At 43.9% G+C, this 22767-nt stretch overlaps 1 long non-coding RNA gene across 5 annotated transcripts in view, besides 2 other annotated features; it reads left to right on the top strand.

Moving 5' to 3' along the window:
* Positions 1-18337, top strand: part of COPS8-DT (COPS8 divergent transcript) — a 175051-nt gene extending 156714 nt beyond the window's left edge. For 4 of the 5 annotated variants that reach the window (NR_187938.1, NR_187936.1, NR_187937.1 and 1 more), the window contains one exon: positions 10559-13710. This is a non-coding gene — a long non-coding RNA (COPS8 divergent transcript). Of the gene's footprint in view, positions 1-10558; positions 13711-17932 lie in introns of those variants that run through there. The other variant, NR_187934.1, reaches the window with a different exon arrangement.
* Positions 10228-10522: a silencer, noted in NCBI's record as "tiled region #6837; HepG2 Repressive non-DNase unmatched - State 21:Repr". NCBI's record gives its function as "represses a minimal TATA promoter and a strong SV40 promoter by Sharpr-MPRA in HepG2 cells {active_cell/tissue: HepG2}" and the evidence as "EXISTENCE:reporter gene assay evidence [ECO:0000049][PMID:27701403]".
* Positions 19001-19500: an enhancer, noted in NCBI's record as "H3K4me1 hESC enhancer chr2:237818251-237818750 (GRCh37/hg19 assembly coordinates)". NCBI's record gives its function as "activates a minimal SCP1, AML or CMV promoter by ChIP-STARR-seq in naive H9 embryonic stem cells {active_cell/tissue: H9 hESC(naive)}" and the evidence as "EXISTENCE:reporter gene assay evidence [ECO:0000049][PMID:30033119]".

Raw genomic sequence — 22767 nt, 5'->3', positions numbered from 1 at the left:
AATTAATTAATATTCAATGAAATTTGTTTTGCTTTTCAAGTTCTATTGGCATTGTTACTGACAAAGCTGGTTTCCCAAAACTAGAGTCTTTTCCTGTTCAGTGTAGTGAAGCTGACACATGAAACTGAAAGTGAGTATCAAGCAGGGCAGGCTTTTTATTCCACGGCCATGGAATGGAGAAGCAGGAGCATGGCTCACAAAGCAACTTCTCCACTAGTGAGGGTGAGGAGGTTAAAATACAGAGTTCCTCTAACGAATGGGTTGGATATTAAAAGCCAGGAGAGGAATATTCATGCCTTTTCTGGAAACGGGCAATGAACTTCCTGGAACTGGAGTGCTGCCTTCATTTTTCCCTTTTATGCCTCTTGCAGTCATTGTCATGGTGACTGGCAACTGTCATGGCACTGGTGAGAGTGTCATTTAGCATGGAAATGAGATTATAATGAAGCCCGAGGTCTTTTTGAAGTCCTATGGTCAGCTATCTTGGTTCTAACCAGTCTCCGCTGGTCTGTTTACAAAGGAAAACTTTTTGTCACAGGCATCCTGCTTCTTAAAGATCAGCAGAGTTAGGGCAGGGTAGAGCTTTAGCTCTGTCACACAGGCATTACACTGGGTGACCGCGTGTCTATTTAAACGGGGGTCTAATTTCAACTATAGTTTTGTTTTTGTTTTTAGTGCTAGAGGACTTTCCTATATGTCTACTCCAGATTGTATTTTCCCTGAAATTCATTCTGTGGCTTGATTTGTTGATTTTTGCTCTTGTAGCTTAGAGAGTTTGGGAGACCACTTTAAAAACCCTCCCTAGCAGCCTGACCCAGGAGAAGCTCACTTGTTCATTCATTCAGAAAATAATAAATACAAAGAGATAAGACAGGCATGGCTATTTTATTTTCAGAGTTGAATAAAAAATGGAACAGTGGGACAAACTACTTTTAATTCTTATTATCCAAGCTATTTGAGTGTGGTGGGACTTCTATATGTAGCCAGACTGGTTGAGCTACTCATTACCGTTGTGGACTCATGGCAACCCCAGACTTACGTGTGTGTTAAAATCCCCTCTGGACATGTAGAATCAATTATCATTGCCTTACTCTTATTGATATGGTTTATAAATGGTTATTGGAATAGAAATGGTATTTAGAGTTCTAGCCACAATGTCCAGCTTTAATAAAAAAAAGTTAGGAAGCCCCCCACCACCAAAGACACACAGACTGCAAGAAAAAACAACCCATTTAGGGGACACAAAGCAACTAATAGTCTGGACTCAAATAATACAGTTTTTAGGACTGTGATATAGAGACTTAAAAATAGTTGATTAATATGTTTGATAATCTAATAAAAAAGCAGATCATGTGTGTGCACAGATAGAAAATTTTATTGGAAAGATGAAAACTACAAGAAAAGGTTTAATAGAAATATCATAAATTAAAAACAAAACCAAAACCGTGTTAGTGGAAATGAAATAAATGATGTCTTTGACAGGCTCATTAGTAGATTTGACATAGCTGAGAAAAGAATCAGTGAAGCTGAAGATAGGGCCATATAAATTACCCAAGTTGAAACACAAAGAGAAAAATAAAAGAAGGGGGAAAGAAAGACATAGACAGAGAAAGAAAACCAGAGAGAGAAACAGAGAGAAAGAACATCTGAGACCGAGACCGATGGAACAATCACATTTTTTTAAACATGATTACAACTGGATTCCCAGAAAGAGAAGAAAGACGGAGAGAAGAAATACTTGGAAAGATAATAGCCACAAATTTTCCAAAAATAATAAAATACATCTAAGCACAGACCAAAGAAACTCAGAGAATCCCAAGCAGGGTAATTTTCAAAAAAACACATCTAGATATATTATAATCACACTTCTCAAAAACAAGTAGAAATAGAAAGTCAGAGGCAGTCAGACAAAAAAAAGACATAAAACATACAGAAAAATAAAGATAAGAATTACAACCAACCTCTCAACAAAAACTATGCAAACTGTAAGTCAATGGAGCAGTATTTTTAAAGTACTGAAAAAAACACAACTGTTAACCCAGAGCTCTATATCCAGTGAAATTTTTTTTTGTCAACAATAAAGGTGAAATGGAGACTTCTTCAGAAAAGACAAATAGAGAGAATGTATTACCCAAAGACCTGGAATAACACATGGAATGTTAGAGTTCTTCAAGCAGAAGGAATATGATACCCAACAGAAACCAGTATCTATAGAAAGAAAAGCTAAGCTCCATAAATAGTAAAAATGAGGAAAAGAGCCAATAATGCCTAAATAACAAGCCCTTAAGCTTCAAGTTTGTGTATGTTCTACTGTATAGATCTTGTCAGATATCCAGCCAAGACAAGTAATATAAAAGAAGGATGCATGGCCCCAGGAACATATTAAGCATTCAAAGCTTCCAATTATTTAAGCCTTTCCCTAGATTACAGAAGATCACAGAAAATCTAGACCATGCACATCAAACTGAATCTCTTTGGAAAAGCCTTTTCTATCAAAATTGTTTTATCTCACCCCCAAAAGTGTTTATTTTTGCTTGAAAAATTACTATCAGTATTCAGACTCAGGGCCATAATGATTGTCTCTTATTTTCAGTAATAAATTATTATAATCAAAGGGGCTTTTAAAATTTTCCACCTGAGAAAATTGAAGCCCATGGATGTAAAGAATTGTGGAGAAGCTGAAACAGCACAGGTTTGGAGCCAGCCGAACTTGATTTCCAACACTGACTTTAAGATCTTTGGCCTTCCATAGGTTATTTAACCACTGTGACTTGTTAGCTGCCTTATCTGTAAAAAGAGCAATACGTAGAATACATTCCTAATAGAACAGCTTGGATAATTATAAAAGGTGCTCAATAAAAGATATGATGATAAAACTGATAACAATGAAAATATTTTTATGGGTCTGTGATCTATCTTTTTTAGCAATGTAACCTGGGAATTTCACTTAATCACTCTGTGCTTCTGAAAATAACAACTCTTTATGAGGTTATTGCGAGGTTGAGTGAGTTAATGATTATGTTTAAAACCGTATTTTACAAAATAGTAAGTGCCTTTTGTTATTATTACTACTTCGGGAATACAAATTTTAGTGGCAATCTGAATTACAGATTTTGTGGATTGAAAATTTGCAAACTGGAAATATGCTGTGACAACATGTCAACAGCTTAAGGACCTTAGATGCTCTTTTGATAACTTCTTTAGTAGCCCTACTACCTTTTATGCTGATCTTAGGAAGGTTCATTTTACTGATAAACCTTACAACCCATATTTTAAACTATGACAAAAGGATTGTGAACAGAGAATTGTCTGCCTCTAAGTACAAAAGAAGAAAGAAAGAACTTGAATGTTAGAATGATGTAAGCATGAGAAAACAGTCCCTTGAAAATGAAAATACTAACAAATGAATAGACAATATAATGTTTGGCTAAATGAAAGCAAACAAAGTAATTAAACACACTCACACCACACACAAAAAATATGAGAAAAGAAAGGGAAAGGAAATGTCATTTAGAGGAAAATGATACCTTGACCTCTCACTCATTTTTAAATGCTCTTATCCTAACATAAACAAAACACAAAAGAAAGAGAGGGGAAAAAAATACTTTTGAAAACCTTGTGGCCAAACCAATTTTAGTCTCTATTTTCAGCAGGCTTAATTTAAAACTCAACCACACTGTAGAGAATGGTTAAAACCTAAAGGAAACCCTGTAATTTAAAAACTTAAATGGAAACAAACACCCCCCAATGAGTGAGTGTCTCATTTGGCAGAAAACGTTTAGTGCAGATTACCAAAATACCCATTCGACATTTCAGGGCAATATTACATTTTTCCTTTTTTGAAACTGAAATGTCTCTATACATGAGCTATCACGTTATCTTTCATAGGAAGTAACATACTCAAGGTGATTCGTAGTAGACATGCCCATGTGCTAGACAGTCATCACCATCATTCTCCCAGTGCTGTGAGAGGTGCGCCAGCACTAGAGTGACACCCGAAACCGTCACTCGCACCCATGGGCTGTACCTGGGAAAAGTCAAGGGGGCTAGTCCTCAAGAGCCCAGGCTAGGGACAGGCACAGTGGTGGGTCACGCCTGTAATCCCAGCACTTTGGGAGGCCGAGGTGGAAGGATCCTTTGAGGCCAGGAGTTTGAGATCAGCCTGGGCAACATCGCAGGACCCTGTTTCTACAAAAAATATATAAATTAGCCAAGCATGGTGGTGTCCTATAGTCCCAGCTAGTCGGGAGGCTGAGGTGGGAGAATACGTTGAGCCCAGGAGTTCAAGACTGCAGTGAACTATGTTTGCACCACTGCACTCCAGCCTGGGCAACAGAGCAAGACTCTATCTCTAAAACAAACAAAAAGAAAGAGCCTAGGTTAGGAAGCTGTAGTACCTGGCTTTGCATTTAGCTCCTTCATGCATGCTGGCTAATCTTGGGCAAGTTATTTAAACTCTGTGTGCCTAGGTTTCCCTACCTTTAAAATAGTGATGATGAAGGCAATGACGCCCGGACGTGGTGGCTCATGCCTGTAATCCCAGCACTTCGGGAGGCCAAGGTGGTTGGATCACCTGAGGTCAGGAGCTTGAGACCAGCCTGGCCAACATGGCGAAACCCCATCTCTGCTGAAAATAGAAAAATTTGCCGGGCATAGTGGCAGGCTCCTGTAATTCCAGCTCTGAGGCAGGAGAATCGCTTGAACCCGGGAGGCAGAGGTTGCAGTGAGCCGAGATCATGCCACTCCACTCCAGCCTAGGCAATGAGAATGAAATGATAGAAAGAAAGAAAGAGAGAGAGAGAAAGAGAGAGAAAGAAAGAAAGAAAGAAAGAAAGAAAGAAAGAAAGAAAGAAAGAAAGAAAAAAGAAAGAAAGAAAGAAGGAAAGAAGGAAGGAAGGAAGGAAGGAAAGAAGACGATGATGGTGTTGGTGATATGTACTTCGAGAGCTGAGGTGAAGATTACATGAGTTGATGTGTGTACATACTTAGAACGATGCTTATGCATTCTGTATAAGTATTAGTTCTTATTGTTATCAAAACATGTCTAAATATTAATGTGAATTTGTTGTTTTAAGTGAGAATTTTCTGTCAGCTCAGTAGCAGTGGGTGAGAGTCAAGAATTACTCTCTCTTGGATTAATCAGAAATTGGCTTTGGCTGGTCCTGCCTTCATATCTAATTTACAAATCTAATTCACACAAACATCATTAAAATGAAAACCCAAATCCTAACTCCACATAAAAATACACACTTCATACTTCAAAACCAAGTATAACAAAAGGAGTGTGTTCTCCTTCTGACTAAAAAATACTTTTATACATAGTCTACTCTTTCTTACCATATGAACAAAATTGTGATGCAAATTAGGCCTTTTAATTCCAAATCTAAATTTATGAGGCAAACCTGGTGAATGTTTTACGAGACAAATGGTTACTATTGGAATAATTGATCTAGTCTTTCAGCTTAAGAGCTTAATATGCATTATAAAATTTTTAGAAACTACAGCAACCCGTGTACTTACTAATCTTATTTATTAACTATGAAAATGTCTCCAAGCAATATAGTCATGTATTCCAAATTAACAACAGGTGATTGTTAAATATATTACTTTCCCATTTTAATGTTTCCCCTAATTGTCTAACACTTCTCTTAATTAAATATGCATTTGGTTAAATAGTGTATCAATAATATATTTAACTTGTTCATCATGAAATGCCATACATTCATTTTTCTTAAAGTATTTTATGGTACCCCTTGCATGTACAACAGTTCCTTCCAAAAGGTGAAGGTTAGGTTTCTTAAGACATTTCTCATTAGAGAATTGTTGATTGTGGAATTACAGATTCCATGTAGAACATTGTGTTGGAAGAACTTTATTACTGCTGAACCAATGGAAGTCCTACAGATAGGGTTTTTTTTTTAAAATTATGATCACTAAAATAGGACCAAAAATACAGCATACTCAATAAATAAATTAATAATAGTGGAGATGTATTAAATTGTAGCCATTGATACAGTTACATTAATTTCCTTTTAACTCTGATACCAAGTTGTCCACCCAACATCATGACAATGATAGAAGAGAGGAAGGAGGAAGGGAGGGAGGGAGGTGGTCACTGTTGAAAAGAGAAAGCCACCCTTGGACTTTTCCCCAGAAATCCACACACCTGTCCTTAATTTTATTCCAAATGCTCAATTTGTACTTAAATCTGTAGTGACCTCAGGGCCGTCTGGTAAGTTTGAAGGAAGTAAGCTTTCCTGAAGCTCTTTCGCCACACATCCGAAGGAAGTGGAAAGTAAGCAATCTTTCTTTGAAGGGATTTTGTCCTCACAGGGATGCGGCAAACAACTACAGTTTTGTCTGAAGTTCAAGCTTTATTCATGAAAAACATGGATTTTACTGCCTTCTCAGTAAGGTTTTAATAGTGACGTTTTCTCCAAGTTTGGATGTAAATGAAAATGATTTGATGATTCATTGAACTTTCCAGGGTCCTCCTCAGGTAACCCCAGGCCTAGGTAGATTTTGTAAATGGGGGGAGAGTAACTAGCAAGATCAAAGCTAATTTTGACTGATTTTTGGTCAGGCTGAATAAATAGTTTCAATGCACTACAGCTTTCACATATTCTCTGACCAAGTTTCTTCATTTAGGGACTCTCTCAGGCACAAAGGTTTGACCGATAGGTCATGCCAACAGAGGAGAAATCTCTCCAACCTTCCTCTCCATCCACTGGCAAACAGCGCAATTAACAGCTGCTTTGAAAGCCATGGCATGCCAGGATCACCCTTGGTGACCACCAGCAGGGCCAGGTTGAAAGCAGTGCTTGTGGCAACAGCTTGGAAACTTCAGTGGTTGCAGGGGAAAGAGTGAGGACCTGCCAAGGCCTGGCCAGGAGGAGGAAGCCTTGGTTGCGATGGCTCTTCAAGAGAGACAGGTGATGCCACATGGGAGGTTATCAGCGAGGCACCTTCCAGACCTGAGTCAGCCTCCTGAGCCGGCAAGAACCCCGTTTTCAGTGCCCCTGCGAAAATTCTTCTTTATTATTATTTATTTATTTATTTATTTTTGAGACGGAGTCTTGCTCAGTTGCCCAGGCTGGAGTGTACTCGCATGATCTCAGCTCACTGCAACCTCTGTCTCCCAGGTTCAAGTGATTCGCCTGCCTCAGCTGCTGGAGTAGCTGGGATTACAGGTGTGCGCTGCCATGCCTGGCTAAGTTTAGTATTTTTAGTAGAGATGGGTTTCTGCCGTGTTGGCCAGGCTGGCCTCGAACTCCTGAATGCAAGTGATCCACCCGCCTCAGCCTCCCAAAGTGCTGGGATTACAGGCCTGAGCCACCGCGCCCTGCCGAAAAATCATCTACTCAGGGCTCTACTTATACCCTTCGTGCTCAAAGCAGGTAGTGCCTACAGAAGCGAAGGCTGTACCAGCAATTTACATGAAATATACATATGTTGCTACTCTCATCCACTTTATAAAAATCTTAAACAAAAGCCAAATAGGTGAGGATTTAAATAGGTACATTTCACAAGATTTGTGATTTCATAAATGCTCATTTTTATATACATTTGTAGGAGTTTAATGTCATCTAGAGCATTTTTTTTGTTTTAAGCAATAGCTTAGAGATCATTAAAGCCAGAAGAAAAAGGCAATCTAAGTCATCAGAGGAAAATTTATTTTCAACTAGCATTAGAGAAAGATTTCCCCCTTTGCTGTACTCTGTTTATTAAATCAGATGCCTACCTCCCTTGATTTCCCCTAATCCACTGCCTAGAGCCCTCAGCTTTACGGGGCATCTCATAGATTCCTGTCGGCACTTCATGTAATTGGTATTTTCTGAGGGTTGTTGACTATCCACAGCTGGCGTTCTGGCTGAAGATACGAAACATGCTGTCAAAGGTGGAGCGAACATCTATGGAGCTTCTGCTCTATGCCATGCACTGTGCTTGAAGTTTGCTTTTGGGTGGAATCTACCATTGTCACTGCCAATAATAACCATATACCCTTTCCAGTGGAAGCATTAGTAGTAGACAAGGATTCTTTATTTACAAGCTCTAATAATACAAAGATTGAGCCTATCTGAAATGTCAGGTTGCATCTCTCAATAAACATCTGGATGCTTTTTTTAGTAGGTCGATGCAACTAAACGCCACTTCCCAGCACTCACTGAGCACTCACATGCCAGGTACATGCAATTCTCACCAAACCCCATGGACAAAGCTCTCTTGCCTCCACTTGACAGATGAAGAAACAGACTGGAGAGGTTCAGTGAATTAGCTGCTGTTTCACAGCTAGGAAGAGGCAAAACTGGCATTTGAACCTTTTTAACTTCAAAGCCCCTCCCATGATGACTGAAGCTATAAGGGCTCCTTGAAAGAGAGAGAGAGAGAGAGACAGAGAGAGAGAGACAGAGATTTAATCATCAGAGATTGTAAAAATAAGAAAATTTTTTTGTGAAACTGAAAGCGTTTTGATAAAATTGGAAAATAAGATTTTCTTCCCTGTCTTCCCATGGCCATCCTGCCAGCCATCGCCTAGCGCTGTCTCTATCCCCAGTTGATATGAAAGGAAGTGCTGGGAAGGGAGGTGCGTGGTCCCTTTAAATGATACAGAAGGGCTGGGCAGGCGCAGTGGCTCACGCCTGTAATCCCAGCACTTTGGAAGACCAAGGTGGGCGTATCACTTGAGTTCAGGAGTTGGCCAGCCTGGCCAACATGGTGAAACCCCGTCTCTACTAAAAATACAAAAATTAGCTGGATGTGGTGGCTCGTGCCTGTGATCCCAGCTACCCAGGAGGCTGAGGCAGGAGAATGGGTTGAACCTGGGAGGCGGAGGTTGCAGTGAGCTGAGATTGTGCCACTGCACTCCAGCCTGGGCAACAGAGTGAGACTCCGTCTCAAAAAAATAAATAAATAAATAAATAAATAAATAAATAAATAAAAATAAAAATAAATGAATAAATAAATAAATGATATGGAAGGGGGAAGGGAAGTGCTGGGTAGAGGAGGGAGTGGTCCTTGGCTAGGGCTCCATCCCCAGGCCTGTGCCCCCGGGCTTAGATGAGGACTGGCAATTTTGTTTTCCTGTCCAAATGTTGCATTTCCCAAGACCCCCCTGGCTGCCACACCCCCATCTTGTGCCTATAAAAACCCTGAGACCCTAGCAGGCAGACACGCAAGCAGCTGCACGTCGAGAGGAACACATCAGCAGAACACACGAGTGGCTGGACATCAACAGCACACCGACAGGCACCGGCAGAACGACACAGAGTTTGGCTGGAGCAGTCAGAGAAGGGGTGGGCCACCAAGTGTCCCTATTCCGGGGGAAAACCATCTCCCTTCTGGCTCCCCCATCTGCTGAGAACTACTGCCACTCCATAAAACCTTGCACCCATTCTCCAAGCCCACGTGTGATCCAATTCTTCCAGTACACCAAGGCAAGAACCCCAGGATACAGAAAGCCCACTGTCCTTGCGATAAGGCATGGGTCTAATTGAGCTGACTAACACGAGATCCCTATGGATGGCTAAACTAAAAGAGCACCCTGTAACACACGCCCACTGGGGCTTCAGCTGTAAACATTCACCCCTAGTCACTGCCGTCGGGTTGGAGCCCCACAGCCTGCCCTGTCTCTATGCTCCCCTAGAGGTCTGAGCAGCGAGGCACTGAAGCAGCGAGTCACACCGCCATCACACACCCTGCGAGCTGGACGGGGAAACCTTTCCTGTTTCACAATCATAGCAACAGAAAGAAAGCCCTTGCTTGGGCTGCTCTCCACCACTTAGAGGTCTCTTGAACACTCTTCCCACTTTGACTTCTTTCCTCTGTGCCCTTTTCTCTAATTCATAAGCACTGATCAGCTAATAAGCTGTCCCTCTCAAACAACATATTCTATTTCCAGTAGGCTTTTCTGGAGCCATTATTCCTTAATCCAAAGACATAACTGGAACATCAGATATCTCCTGAAGTGTGTTGTTTCAGTATGATGTGCATTTTGGTTAGCCTGGCCATTCAGTCTCTGCAATTCATTGCAATGCATTGCTTGTCTCAGTCACCTAAGCTGGCCGGAATAATTGTATGTCTCTAGGGAGATGGTAGCTCCCTATCTTTTCCCACCATCTTCTAGAAGAGTTCAGAGGAGAAGATATATCTTACTTATCACAAGGCTACTAAACTTGTAAGTAGCCAACACTTTGTACAGAAAACACCCCAGATGTTTCCAAGTGAATCTTGGGAAGTGAGCATTTAGGAGGCTCTGTTTGATCTACGAACACTCATAATACTTTGACTTTCTCTGACCCTATAAATAATACAGCTCTGGTAGATAAGCCGAACAACCCTGGGAAAAGCTCTCGAGGTCTTCGTGGGAGCTTTGAAAGGACGCGGGGCAGCACGGCTTCCTTTCCTACAGCCACTGTGCTCCCGGGGCTCTCCCGTTGATATCTGCCACTACAAACAAGCTGAGTTTCCTGGAAAAAATGTCAAGCTCCCTGTAGAAGAGGTCTGAAGCAGGGTTCTTCATTGTGCTATCTTTCTATGTACTGTTTGGTTTGTCTTCTAGGATAACAGAAGTTCAAGAGGAAAGGACAGTGAGAGACCATGACTAAAGAATTACTCCGTGAACAACTCAGGAGGACCAGCTATGATTTCACTCTCATTCAAAAAAGAGAAATAATATTTCTTTCAGCTGCTACCCATAAAATATTTTTGAATGTGTGTACAATGTTCATGCTGTAATGGCTGCTCTATCATGAAGGATGTGTTGACACCTCGTGGGTGGCTTTTCACAATCCCCTTGGACACAGATTGGGGGATTGACGGCCCCATCCCCTCATTTTCCACACCGAGGGGCAGTTGGGATATGCATAAAATCTTGTTCTCTAGTTAGGACCTGTTGCTATAAATCTAGCATCAAGAGTATCACTATTTTCTAAACACTTTGCCAGACAGCCTTCGGAGTATAATTTTCTGAAGTTTATAAAGCATAACTCATACACACACCTAGTGACCATGTTCTGAAGGTATATTTAACTCCTGCATGAGGGAACAGGCAGGATGAAAGTGGGTTCTAAGGAAGAGACTAGCATATATGATCAACGGGGAAAAATGAAGAGTAAGCTTGAAACCGCCTTTGCAAAAATTATAACCGAGGAGATTATGACAGTGAAGGAGATCAGACCTAACCGACCCCATCTTGCTTCTAACCTTTAAGCTGTCCTTGTTCATTCCTGGGTGTAGGCCGAACTAACTTTGGGAAGGAATTTGTTCGTGGTTTGACTCTGAAACAAAAAAATTGATAATAGCCCTTTCCCGAAAAGACCGCCTTCTTGCCTGGGGACCAGTCTGCCTTTGCAGGACCAACAAATTAACTACGAGATTAGAAATTACAGTTTAGGGGTCCTGCAGCCTCTGACTCCAAGAGTCTGACCCTCCCCACATTGCTTCTGGGGATAACATCACTATTATAAAACCTAAGATCAGTGCTTGAGATATTTTGCAGACCCTGCACTGGATGGATCAGCTGACACCACCCAGACCCGTAATCTGGATCAACCAGTTCTGCCATCCCACCCAGGAACAGAAGATGCAAGAAAAACTCACTTTGACCCTCTATGATTCCATCTCCAACCTGACCAATCAGTACTCCCCACTTCCCAAGCCCCTGCCTGCCAAATTATCTTTAAAAACTCTGATCCCCGAATGCTTGGAGAGGCTGATTTGAGTAACAACACAACTCTGGTCTCCTGCACAGCCAGTTCTGTGTGAACTACCCTTCGCCCATTGCAATTCCCCTGTCTTGATAAATTGGCTCTGTCGAGGCAGTGGGCAAGGTGAACCCACTGGGCAGTTACAAGACTGCAAAGTTAGAAACAAAACTGGCAATGCCCCATGGGTCAAAAATAATCAATTAATTCATAACATTTGACTTGATTAAGTTTTCTACTGGACAGAAACAATTTGCAACTTATCCTTCCTCTACATTGTTTGACTGCCATGTCAATTGTAAGTATTAGATCAAATTTTAAAATAATTATTTTAGAGCTTCAGATGCACCTTACATGGGCTTGTTAGATTGTTAGACACTGCTTAGTGACATTGAAAGAGGGCACAATACTTTTTTTGCCTTATTTCTAAGTTGTGGGTATCCTTTTCTTAACACTTCTTTTCTGTGATTCTATGCAAGACAATCGTTGATGAAATGGGATTTTCTGGATGGAAAGTCCGTGTACTTTACTGAAACCTCTTTCTACAGTTCTGTCTTTCAAGTGGGATTCTGTGAGCTGACTCATGACAGCTGAGCATCATCGGAGATTGGCTTCAATGGTCCTCAATGTGCAGAACATAAATAGCAATTTCTACCATCATTCAATAGCATTTGTGGGTCCTTTTATATGGAGTATATAAAAGTATTTGCAGGTCTTGGTTTATCTGTCCCCACGTGACATACCTATAGAACAGGTATTTTCATCCCAGCTACTTATTATAAATATTTAATAAGTAGGCTAATGGTTTGGAATTCTATTTCTCTATTTGCATGAGTCAAATAATAGACCAAATTCTTTCAAAAAGAGGAGATGTTAACATACCAAAAGAAACTGAAACAAGAGCATTGAACCCACGGTGCCCTTCAGAAACACCTGCCAACAATGGGGCAGAGTGTCCAGCTGCCTGGACAGTGTGTGCAGGGGCGGGGCCCTTCCTGTTCACAATGGCTTTGCCTGGCAGTTAAAATGCAAATGGAGGGCAGACTGAGAGTGCATCACCCTCTCACATCTCAGAGTCTAAAAGGCGGCCTTTCAGTGCCTTCTGTTCAAATTGCAAATGCTCTTCCTTTATCCCCCAAGGCCTGGGAGACAGTTCTGAATAATTCTTCCCCAACAAATTGGCTTTCCTCTTCCCAGCAACAAAAGCCCTTATTGGTTTTAAAAGTGCAAAGAACAAATTTTATTCAAGGGTCTTAAGGCAGATGAAGGTTCACAGAAACTACAAGGGCAGTTCCAGGGCCTCCACGTACGACCGTGTCCCTATAACGACTGGTCCTTATAAGAGGCCAGCAACAGTATCTTATTTTCCTGTACAGGCCTGGGATTCCCAGTAATTTCTTTGCATTGGCTTTGTAAGCACAATTACCCAGAGTTTCCGAGAATTGGGACATTTCCAAGAAATTGCCCAATGGGTCAGTGGAGTGCTGTCAAATGAGATGGACCATCTTAAAATCAAAACGTGGGTGGTTTCTGCTCATTGCTGAGCATTTCACTTCCATTCTGAAAAGTCTAAGAACGTCACTCCAGGAGATACAATGTCAAGGGCTCCCGCCACTCTTCATCATTGCCCAAGTCATAAGAATCATCCCCCAAATTCCTTCTATTTCTCCAAGGTAGGGTAACCCAGGGCTGGGTAAGCCTGTTAGGGCAGGTCAGGTTGGCACATACCGAGGAGGAACTCAGACAGACAGACAGCGCCAGGGGACCAGCGGCACTGTGTGCTCATCACCACCCTCAGGGATTCAAGGGCCTTGTCCTGGTACCTGGGTCACCTTCTGAAATAAGTGCTACTGAGGTTCATGGCCAAGACCCTTCCAGGAAATTCAGAAGGAGGTTGGCTTCAGTGGGAAAGTAGTCTGTGACCCAGAAGGTGTTTATTCAACAAGGTGCAAGCTGACAACATGTTTCTTTGCTCTGGACACTGGAATTAAACTCCTAAGAGACCCTATTCTTTTCTGATGACTGCTTCTTTGGAAATGGTACAGCTTGGATTTTCAGGGCAAGAAACTCATGTTTTCTTGGCTCGCTGAACTGAATAACAAAAGAAACAGACATGGGGACCTGCCTGCAGCCTAAAGTTGGTTGTCAAAAGAAATAATTAGAAGAGAAAAGTGCTTCTTCAATTTTTAACCATCCAACTGATCCCACGTGTCCAGCTCTTCCCTAGGCAGGGGAGATCACAAGGACTTTATTACCTGTGCTCTCAGGGTAATGAGGCTTTTGTCCTGCTCACCCACAGCCTCCCATGGTCAGGTCAAGGCCCCACCTCTTCAGCTTCTCACTTACCACTCCCTCGGCTGCAGTCCTGCCCTGGGTAGGAGGAGTTGTATAGGATGAGCCAACTGTCTTGTTTTGCTTTGTGCACACACCTGGCCAAGGTGGTGGTCTGCTTTCTGCTCAGGGTCTCATGAGTGTTCCATGAACTCACACCCATCAATCTCTGGCCATCAAGACTCAAACAAGCCCCTCAGGTTGGCAGAGATTGGGGAACTGACCTCATGTCATCCCCCCCATTTTCCACATTACCTCCAGTTGAGAATTTTAGCCCCCATGATCAGATGGGTGAGAAATAGCCCGTCTTCATTTTCTTCAAATTAGCCTGACTCTGACTCCACAGGTCCCACCCACCAGGCAGGAGAGGACTGAGCCTCATGGCTACTGGCCCTTCCCCATCTTTCGAGGCTTCCTCTTGCCCCCTCCGGAGAAGGGCCTTAGACATTCCACCATTATGTGTGTGGTCTGGCAGCTTTCTGCCCTATGCTCCTGTGGAGCTGGGAGCCTTGGACAAGACAGAGTGTCTGATGCCGAGACCTCAGCCTTTTAAATGTACTCACGGGTGCTGAGGAGGCCTGGCCTCCTCCTGGGGATGCAGACAGGGAGCAAGACGCAGGTAACCCCTGCCCACAGGCTCCGTGAACCTCAGATCTGTTCTCAATCCAAGAAACACAATTCCACTTCCCCTTCACCTCTCTTACTCCGGGAAACTTTGCACTACCTTTTCAATGGGCTTAAAAGAGTGGAGGAAAAATTGTCTTCAGACAACTTTAAACAGTTTTAAAACAGAAAATTTACTTACAGGGACTCCCTAGATGTTAGAAGAAAGCTCCAGGTAGCTGCAGGTAGCTAGGAAGTAGGAAGAGCCCACCTCTTCTTGGAATGGGGAAGAACACACATGAACTCTTATCTCATGAAATCCAATAGTCAACTACAACATGGTTTGTGTGAGTGAAAAGACCCCAGAATAAGACCACCTGGGTGAGCCTGTGCCTGGTGGTCTCAAAGCATCCCCCTCCTCCCATCCACCCCTGCTCTGCCCTGTATCATGGGGGGTCTGGCCTCTGCAGGCTATGAGCCCCGGGTTCCTGTGTCTCTGGCTTCTGACTGGGTTGGACCAATGGGAAGCCTGGAGGGACATGGGTGTGTACAGGAGTCTGGGTGGGCTTCTTGACTCTGTTTGTTGGGCTGTCTTGCCTGGAGGCTCTTTCCTTCTACAAGCCAGCTCCTGCCACAGAGACCCACCCTGGTTCTAGCTTCCCTTCAGTGAGTCTGATTCCTGGGCTCTGATAACTGCCTCCTTCCTTGTGCATCTGAGAGGTGGTAGCCACTTCCTGATGCTGTGGACACCAGGGTTGCCTCAATGTCCCTTGTCTGACGTTTTGGCTCTTCTACCATCTAGGAAGTCCCTGTAATTAAATTTTCTGTCTTATAAAACTTAGGATGACTGTTTATCCTCACTGGGTCCTGACTTAGTCACTTACTACTGTGTGGTTGTGGTCAAGCTTCTTTCTCCTGCTATGTTCAGTTTCCTCATCTGGAAAGCGGGATAATAATGGGTTCTTCCTTAGAGAACTCACCCCAGAGTGAGTTAAATAAGATAATACTCAGAGTTTGTTACTTGGAACTCACACAGTAAGTGGTAGATTTTGGAGTCTGTACCAGAGGGTCCTGAGGTGTGGGCTGAGGGTGATCTTTGGTGGTGCCTGTTCACTGGATTCAACAACTGCCAATCACAGAGTGAGGAAGTTGTTCACTTTTCAGGTGGTTCTGTTTTTTTCTGTCTCTCTTCTTCTGGATACAATAAAAGCTGCTCTCTGTTCCTAGTATGTCTTTAGAACTTGGAGTCTCCATGACCACGGGAGAAAGAGCAGGTCTCAGACTGAGGAAGTAGGACCCAACAGCATTGTTCTGTTTACATGGAATTTGCTTTTACAGCCAAATTCTACTGATGGCAAATGATACAGTTTTCCATTTCTGGAGGTGATAAAAAGTTTTTTTAATAATGAATTCATTTAAGTTTTTTGTTTTTTTTTAAAAAAAGATCGACTTGGAAAAACAGAAGTAAAAGAGTGCAGTTGGGAGGAGCTTGATGACCTGAGCTTAGAAGGCCTTTCCTGCAGACGTGCTCTGGGGCTAGTGGGTTGAATCAGGACACAGAACAACAAAGACAGTTTCTGCTTTCAAGGAGCGCATGGTTCTCAGCCAAATTCAACAGGAATAATATGACAGAACATAATTAAATAGCAAGTAATTTGTTACAGATGCAAATTCTGCAAAAGTTCAAAGACGCATGGGCCAACGGGGTCAGGAGAAGGCGGGATGGAGGAGGCGACTTAACAGGAGAGATTCCCGGTGGTGGGCACAGGTGCAGAGAAACGGGGACCTGGATTAGGGGAGCAAAGGAGAGCTAGCGTGACGGTGTGGCAAAAATGGGTTTTGAGTTTCTGGAGTAGAGATCCAGGTCGGTGTCAGAGGTGCTGGGGGTTCTGGGAAGGAAAATGATGACAAGTTGACGACAGGAAACGTGGAGTTCTGCATCATTAAGCGTCAGTTTCACGGGATGCTGTAGTCCTGGCAGAATCGTTTTTGGCTGTGGTGTGCAGGAGGGGTCTGCGGCTGAGCCACTGCAGAAGGGCTGGCCAGCTGGGAGGCTGGGAGGCAGATGCTGTAACCCTGGTGTGACCCTGTCCCTGCAGAGAGAGAGCCAGGGAAGGGGCCAGGTGAGCAGGGCCAGGGGGCAGCAGCACCATCATCCAGGGCACTCAGGGGTTAAAGCCTCATCTGGGGACACAGTGAGGAGCTGATCCCGGAAGGAAGAGGCTACGTAGTTCATATCAGACCATGCACACACACACACACACACACACACACACACACACACACACACCAGAGATCCAACTCTTCCTACAGTTTCTCACCAAGAAAGGTCATGGCTGGGTTGAAGAAAGTGAGGCAGGAGTGTTTTCCTTGCAAGGAACATTTGTGTGAAGAGGTCTCTCCCAAGGGTGCTCATATCAGGCAAAAGGTTCTGTCTGTGGGATCCCTGATCCATCTGATCTCCATCCTGCAGGAGCCTTGCTCTTCCTCATGGAGACGCGTTTGCATCTAGAGGGAAAATTGTGAGTAAAAGCCATGACTACAAAATGCACATGTGGATTCCACCGTGGAAAAGTGGGGAGCCCGGGGCCGGGCACAGCATCCGAAATGAAGGTGTGTCACAGGACAGTCGCATGCTCAGGCTGCCTCAACAGAGAAATAGGTGAAGGAGAGCATTTCTCTTTCCACAACTGACAAGAATTCTGTCTTAACGTGGACTGTTTTTGTCGTTGTTGTTGTTGTTTTTTATTTGAGACGGAATCTCACTGCGACACTCAGGCTGGAGTGCAATGGCACGATCTCAGCTCACTGCAACCTCTGCTTCACTTCCCAGGTTCAAGCAATTCTCCTGCCTCAGCCTCCCAAGTAGCTGGGATTACAGGTGTGCACCACCACATCTGGCTAATTTTTGTATTTTTAGTAGAGATGGGGTTTCACCGCATTGACCAGGCTAGTTTCAAACTCCTGATCTCAAGTGATCTGCCCACCTCAGCCTCCCAAAATACTGGAATTACAGGCGTGAGCCACCGCGCCCTGCCTGTTTTCCTTTGTAGTTTTAAATTTGGTAGTCAGGATTTTATATTTTGCTGCAAATGACATGAGAAAATTCAAAGAATCACATAAAATCACGCTCTCCTCTGCCTGCTGTCACTTGCCATCTATCAGTGGCACCAATCTTCAGCGGTGGCCATAACTAAATAGCCCATGCTCCTCAGCGGGGCCACACACGTGCAATGCAGTTACAATGTGTAACACGAATACACAACATTTACAGAACAAATTTTCCTCTTTTCCAGAAACTATAAACATTGAAAGGAATGCTGGGGCCTCCAAAATCTGCGATTACATTTCTCGTAAATGGCAACTCATTGTCATCCTGCAGACATGGATTAAACCACAGGATGGGGTCTGAACCGGGAACACTTGCAGGTTAACAGCAACAACATCCACTCCAACAGAATCACCCCCGTCACAGTGAGCAATGAGCAAAAACATGGCTCAGAAACAGTTTCCCCAGATGTTCAATAAAGGACATTTAAATGAGACATTTACCATCTGGTTAATAACATAGCATTGAGTGGGACTTGGTAACAATATCCCAATACGTAAGCTTTTAAAATCAGTTCTTTTCCCTGAGCATAAAACTGCTTCTCCATCTGCCCTATGAAAACAGGCGATAAATAAATGTTTGTTCAACCTCATTCCTGTCAAAGTCATTGTTCTTTAGGGGGGAAAAATACATATATATATATATATATATATATATATATATATATATATGTATATATGTGTGTGTGTGTATATATATATGTATATATGTGTGTGTATATATATGTATATATTTGTGTGTGTGTATATATATGTATATATTTGTGTGTGTGTGTGTGTGTATATATATATATGTGTATATATATGTATATATATGTGTATATATATATGTATATATATATGTGTATATATATATGTATATATATATGTGTATATATATATGTATATATATATGTGTGTATATATATGTATATATATATGTGTATATATATATGTATATATATATGTGTATATATATATATGTATATATATATATGTGTATATATATATACGTATATATATACTGTCTCCACTGTGGGTTAAACAAAACTATCTGCAACATGTGCAATGATCGGCCTTTGCCACAGCACATGGGAGACAGGAAGTCAGAGCTGCCAACAAATCCCCACCTTGTTAATTTTATCAGAGCCACGGATAATCTGAAAACAGGAAAGATGCTATAAATGGTGGTTCTGTTTGTGGATCCATCTTGCAGTCGGTTTTACCAGCATCTACCCAGCCAGAGGCCAGGAGAGGGCAGGGCTTGAGATATCTCTAAATTCCTCTTTTCCTTTGCTTTCTAAGTCCTCATCCTGCTGGGCTTGCAGCCTGTCTTGGGGTCCCTTCAGCCTCCCCCCATTCCACCTGTAGGCCAAGTGGTGCTGAGCCTTCCACTATGGGCTGTGGTCACTCTCGGGCCACTACACATCCAAGGTCTGCAGCCTCGAGAGGGTCCTCTACACAGCTCATCCACCCTTCCCGCTCCACACAGGCCCTTGCGCCAGTGGATCAGAGTGGATGAGCAAGGTGACGTGGAACATGCATGTGAAGTGCTGTGAGCAGGGCCCAGCACCCAGCGTGCACACCAGGGATGAGGAGGGGGAAGGGGACTCCTGCAGTCACCCTGAGATGACAGGCACGGACGGTATGGTTTTGGTCAAACAGGGCCTGTGTTCACTCTCTGTGTAAGCACTAGCTATTATTGCAATTATCCACCTCGTCTCCCTCAAATCTCCTGCCCATACCTGCCCCATCCTGCTGTGCATTGAGCATGGACTCCACCTCCTGGGGGAATCAGAAGCCGAGACTGGAGGGGCCCCACACATGCCTGCCGCGGCCTACACTACCTGCTCCCTGTGTGAGGGGTTCCTCCTCCCCCGATGCCCTGCTCTCTCTCCAGTTGCCACCAGCACCCCATGCAGGTCCCCGCAGCCTTGTCTAGGGTAGGATTGGGAGATGGACGGGCACAGGGCCACTCACAGCATGGGAGCTTTGGGCTGTGACTAAGCTTCTGCTGGTGTCTGCTCCCTAAACTGCACAGGGAGGACAAGGGTGGGACCTGCCTGGCGGAGGGAGGGTTCAAGTATCTGGAGGAGCACGTGGCTGCAGTGAATGCTCAATAAACACGAGCTGCCGGCAGCACCATCTCCTCCCTGGGAGCATCTCTGGGTTCTGGCTCGTCCCCCACATCCCTGGCTCAGGGTATTTTATTTCCTCCTCTCCACTGCTCTATGCTATAAGTACCGCGAATTATCTAAGAAACGGTGCAGAGTAGCTCCTCCACTCCTGACTCTGGCTTGGTGCTCCAGATACAATCGGGGCTGAATCATCCACAATTCCTGATCCTGGGGGCGTCCATGTGGCAAAGGAACAGACGGGAAGTGGGTGGGCAGGCATCTAATCTCATGAGGACAAGAGGGGATGTGTGGGACAGTGGGTCCAGAGAGGGCTTCCAAGGGGGAGGTGATCAACTGCAAGGCAAGGAGAAGCAGCAAAACTTTTCTAGGAGGATTCAGCAGCAAATGCACAGAAGCCCGGATGGTAAGGATCCCTGACCACTAAGGGGAAGGGAAGGATAGAGAGGCAAAGGCTGAGTGAGCCCGTGGGAGCAGGGAGAAAGCAGCCCTCTGTGTCTTCAGTGGAGGCTCCGACAGCTGCAGAGTGTCAGGAGGTGGACACAGAGGAGCACCGAAGCCCACCGCAGTGGACTGTGCTGAGTCGTGCTGGAGAGGTGGCTGAAGGGCAGCTGCTGTGTGGCTGGAGGGAAGGCGGCCACACTCCTTGGCTGGACTGGCCAGTCTTGGACAAAAGCACCATAGCCATGGCTATGATGGACCTTGGCCATCTGGAGCCAACCTTAGGGAGGGTGGGAGCACGAGAATGCATGGCCGGGCTCCGTTACTCACCAACCCCAGAGCTCCAAGAGCTTGATCCAACCTAGAAAAATAAAGGGAGTGGCGTGTCTTACTCCCGTGTCGCATGGACACTCTGACCCAGCTCCGCTCCTCTCACCCGATGTTTGTGGTCACCTGTGGTCACTCCACCCCATCCCTGGGTTTCTTCCGTCTCCCAGTGGCTCCCCCAAATCCTGCCAATCCTATGAGGCCAGTTCACCTTGCTTACAAAATCTTCTCAGCCTCTACAGCCACACTGGCTTCTCTAGTCTTTGAGACTGTGGTTCACACCATGTTAACATTAATCCCAAAATGCACCATCCCCATGTCCAGGTATCCAGCATGTGTGTTCTCATTTCTACTGAGAATGTAACTGCAGACGGGGCCTCAGACAGTGTAGGAACTCAAAAAATGTGGGTCTGATTTACAGAGGCCACAGTGTAATGATCCACTGTATACTTTTATGGACAGAAGAGAACCGTCTGCAAAACACTGATAATTCTTTTAAACTGCATTCATTCATTCACACTCTCATTCATTTATTCATTCCACACGTATATTTTACAGTCTATTATGCTCCAGTCATCACATGCAAGATGTTTTTCATAAGAAGATGACTTTTAAACTGAAAAGAAGTATTAAGGATGTTTTGGGGCTTTTTTAAGTGGATGGTATTTTGAAATGCTGTCCTCTGTATCTAATTTCTTAGTACCCTCAGACTATACATCTAAGCCAGCCAAAGTTCTGTGACTGACCAGCATGGCACAGAACATGGCACAGTGTGGGCTGCACAGCTGCCAGCTTGCCACGAAGCAGCTCCCTCTGGGCTGCTTCGTTTGTTTGTTTTGAGACGGAGTCTCACTCTGTCGCCCAGGCTGGAGTGCAGTGGTGCAATCTCGGCTCAGTGCAACTTCCGCCTCCCAGGTTCAAGCAATTCTCCTGCCTCAGCCTCCCGAGCAGCTGGGATTACAGGCTCCTGCCACCATGCCCAGCTAATTTTTGTATTTTTAGTAAAGACGAGGTTTCAACATGTTGGTCAGGCCAGTCTCAAACTCCTGACCTCAGGTGATCCACCCGGCTCGGCTTCCCAAAATGCTGGGATTACAGGAGTGAGCCACCGCACCCAGCCAGAGCTTTGAGGATGTTAAGGGAGGAATCAGGGAAGTCAAGCCCAGAGTTATCTCCATTCTAAAAAGGAAACAGCAGGATTCAGTAAAACCTTAGGAAGTCCTTCCAATAAACAAGCTCCATCCTGTCAAATACAAATCCCCTTCTGAATAAAATATTTCTTCCCCTTGTCCCCCAACCCCACCTCTCCACGTCTTCCTAAACAATTTCCCTCCTCCGCATTTTATGTGAGCATAAAACACCACTGCTGGCCACAGGCCTCCCCATCATGCATGCACCTCCCCACTGGCTTCATATAAATATTTAATATTCTTTGTTTAGGATCTGCCAATTGTGTATCCTACAGTCATTCAGAGTATGTTCTGATTAATATATAGTTTGTCAATAGTGCCTGTGGCAAAGGGTAACTTTGGGTCCTAAAAGATCCAGCCCCTTTCATACACTTAACTTTTATTTTCTACAGTAAACAAAACTTTACTGTAGAAAATACAAAACTGTTTACTGCAGAAAATACAAAAACTGTAGATAAGCAAAGGAAACAATTATCTACAATCCCAATAGTCTAGAGCAAATCAGTGTTAGGGAAACTCTGGAAGACTATTCAACAGAATGCAACTGTCTAAAATGCAGTTCTTTTTTTTTGTTTTGTTTTGTTTTGTTTTTTTGAGACAGAGTCTCGCTCTGTCACCCAGGCTGGAGTGCAGTGGCATAATCTTGGCTCACTGCAACCTCTGCCTCCCAGGTTCAGGCAATTCTCCTGCCTCAGCCTCCTGAGTAGCTGGGACTACAAGCGTGCGCTGCAATGCCCAGCTAATTTTTGTATTTTTAGTAGAGACAGGATTTCGCCATGTTAGCCAGGCTGGTCTTGAACTCCTGACCTCAGGTTATCTGCCGGCATTAGCCTCCCAAAGTGCTGGAATTACAGGCATAAGCCACTTCGCCCAGATGCAAAATGCAGTTCTTACAAAGGATGTCAGTTCATGCCAGTTCATACTACTTAGCGTGCACGCTCCTTTTTTAAC

This window comes from Homo sapiens, chromosome 2 (genome assembly GCF_000001405.40).
Source record: "Homo sapiens chromosome 2, GRCh38.p14 Primary Assembly".
Lineage (NCBI taxonomy): Eukaryota > Metazoa > Chordata > Mammalia > Primates > Hominidae > Homo > Homo sapiens.
The sequence above is the reverse complement of the archived record's forward strand: the minus strand, read 5'-3'. Positions and strand labels throughout refer to the sequence as shown.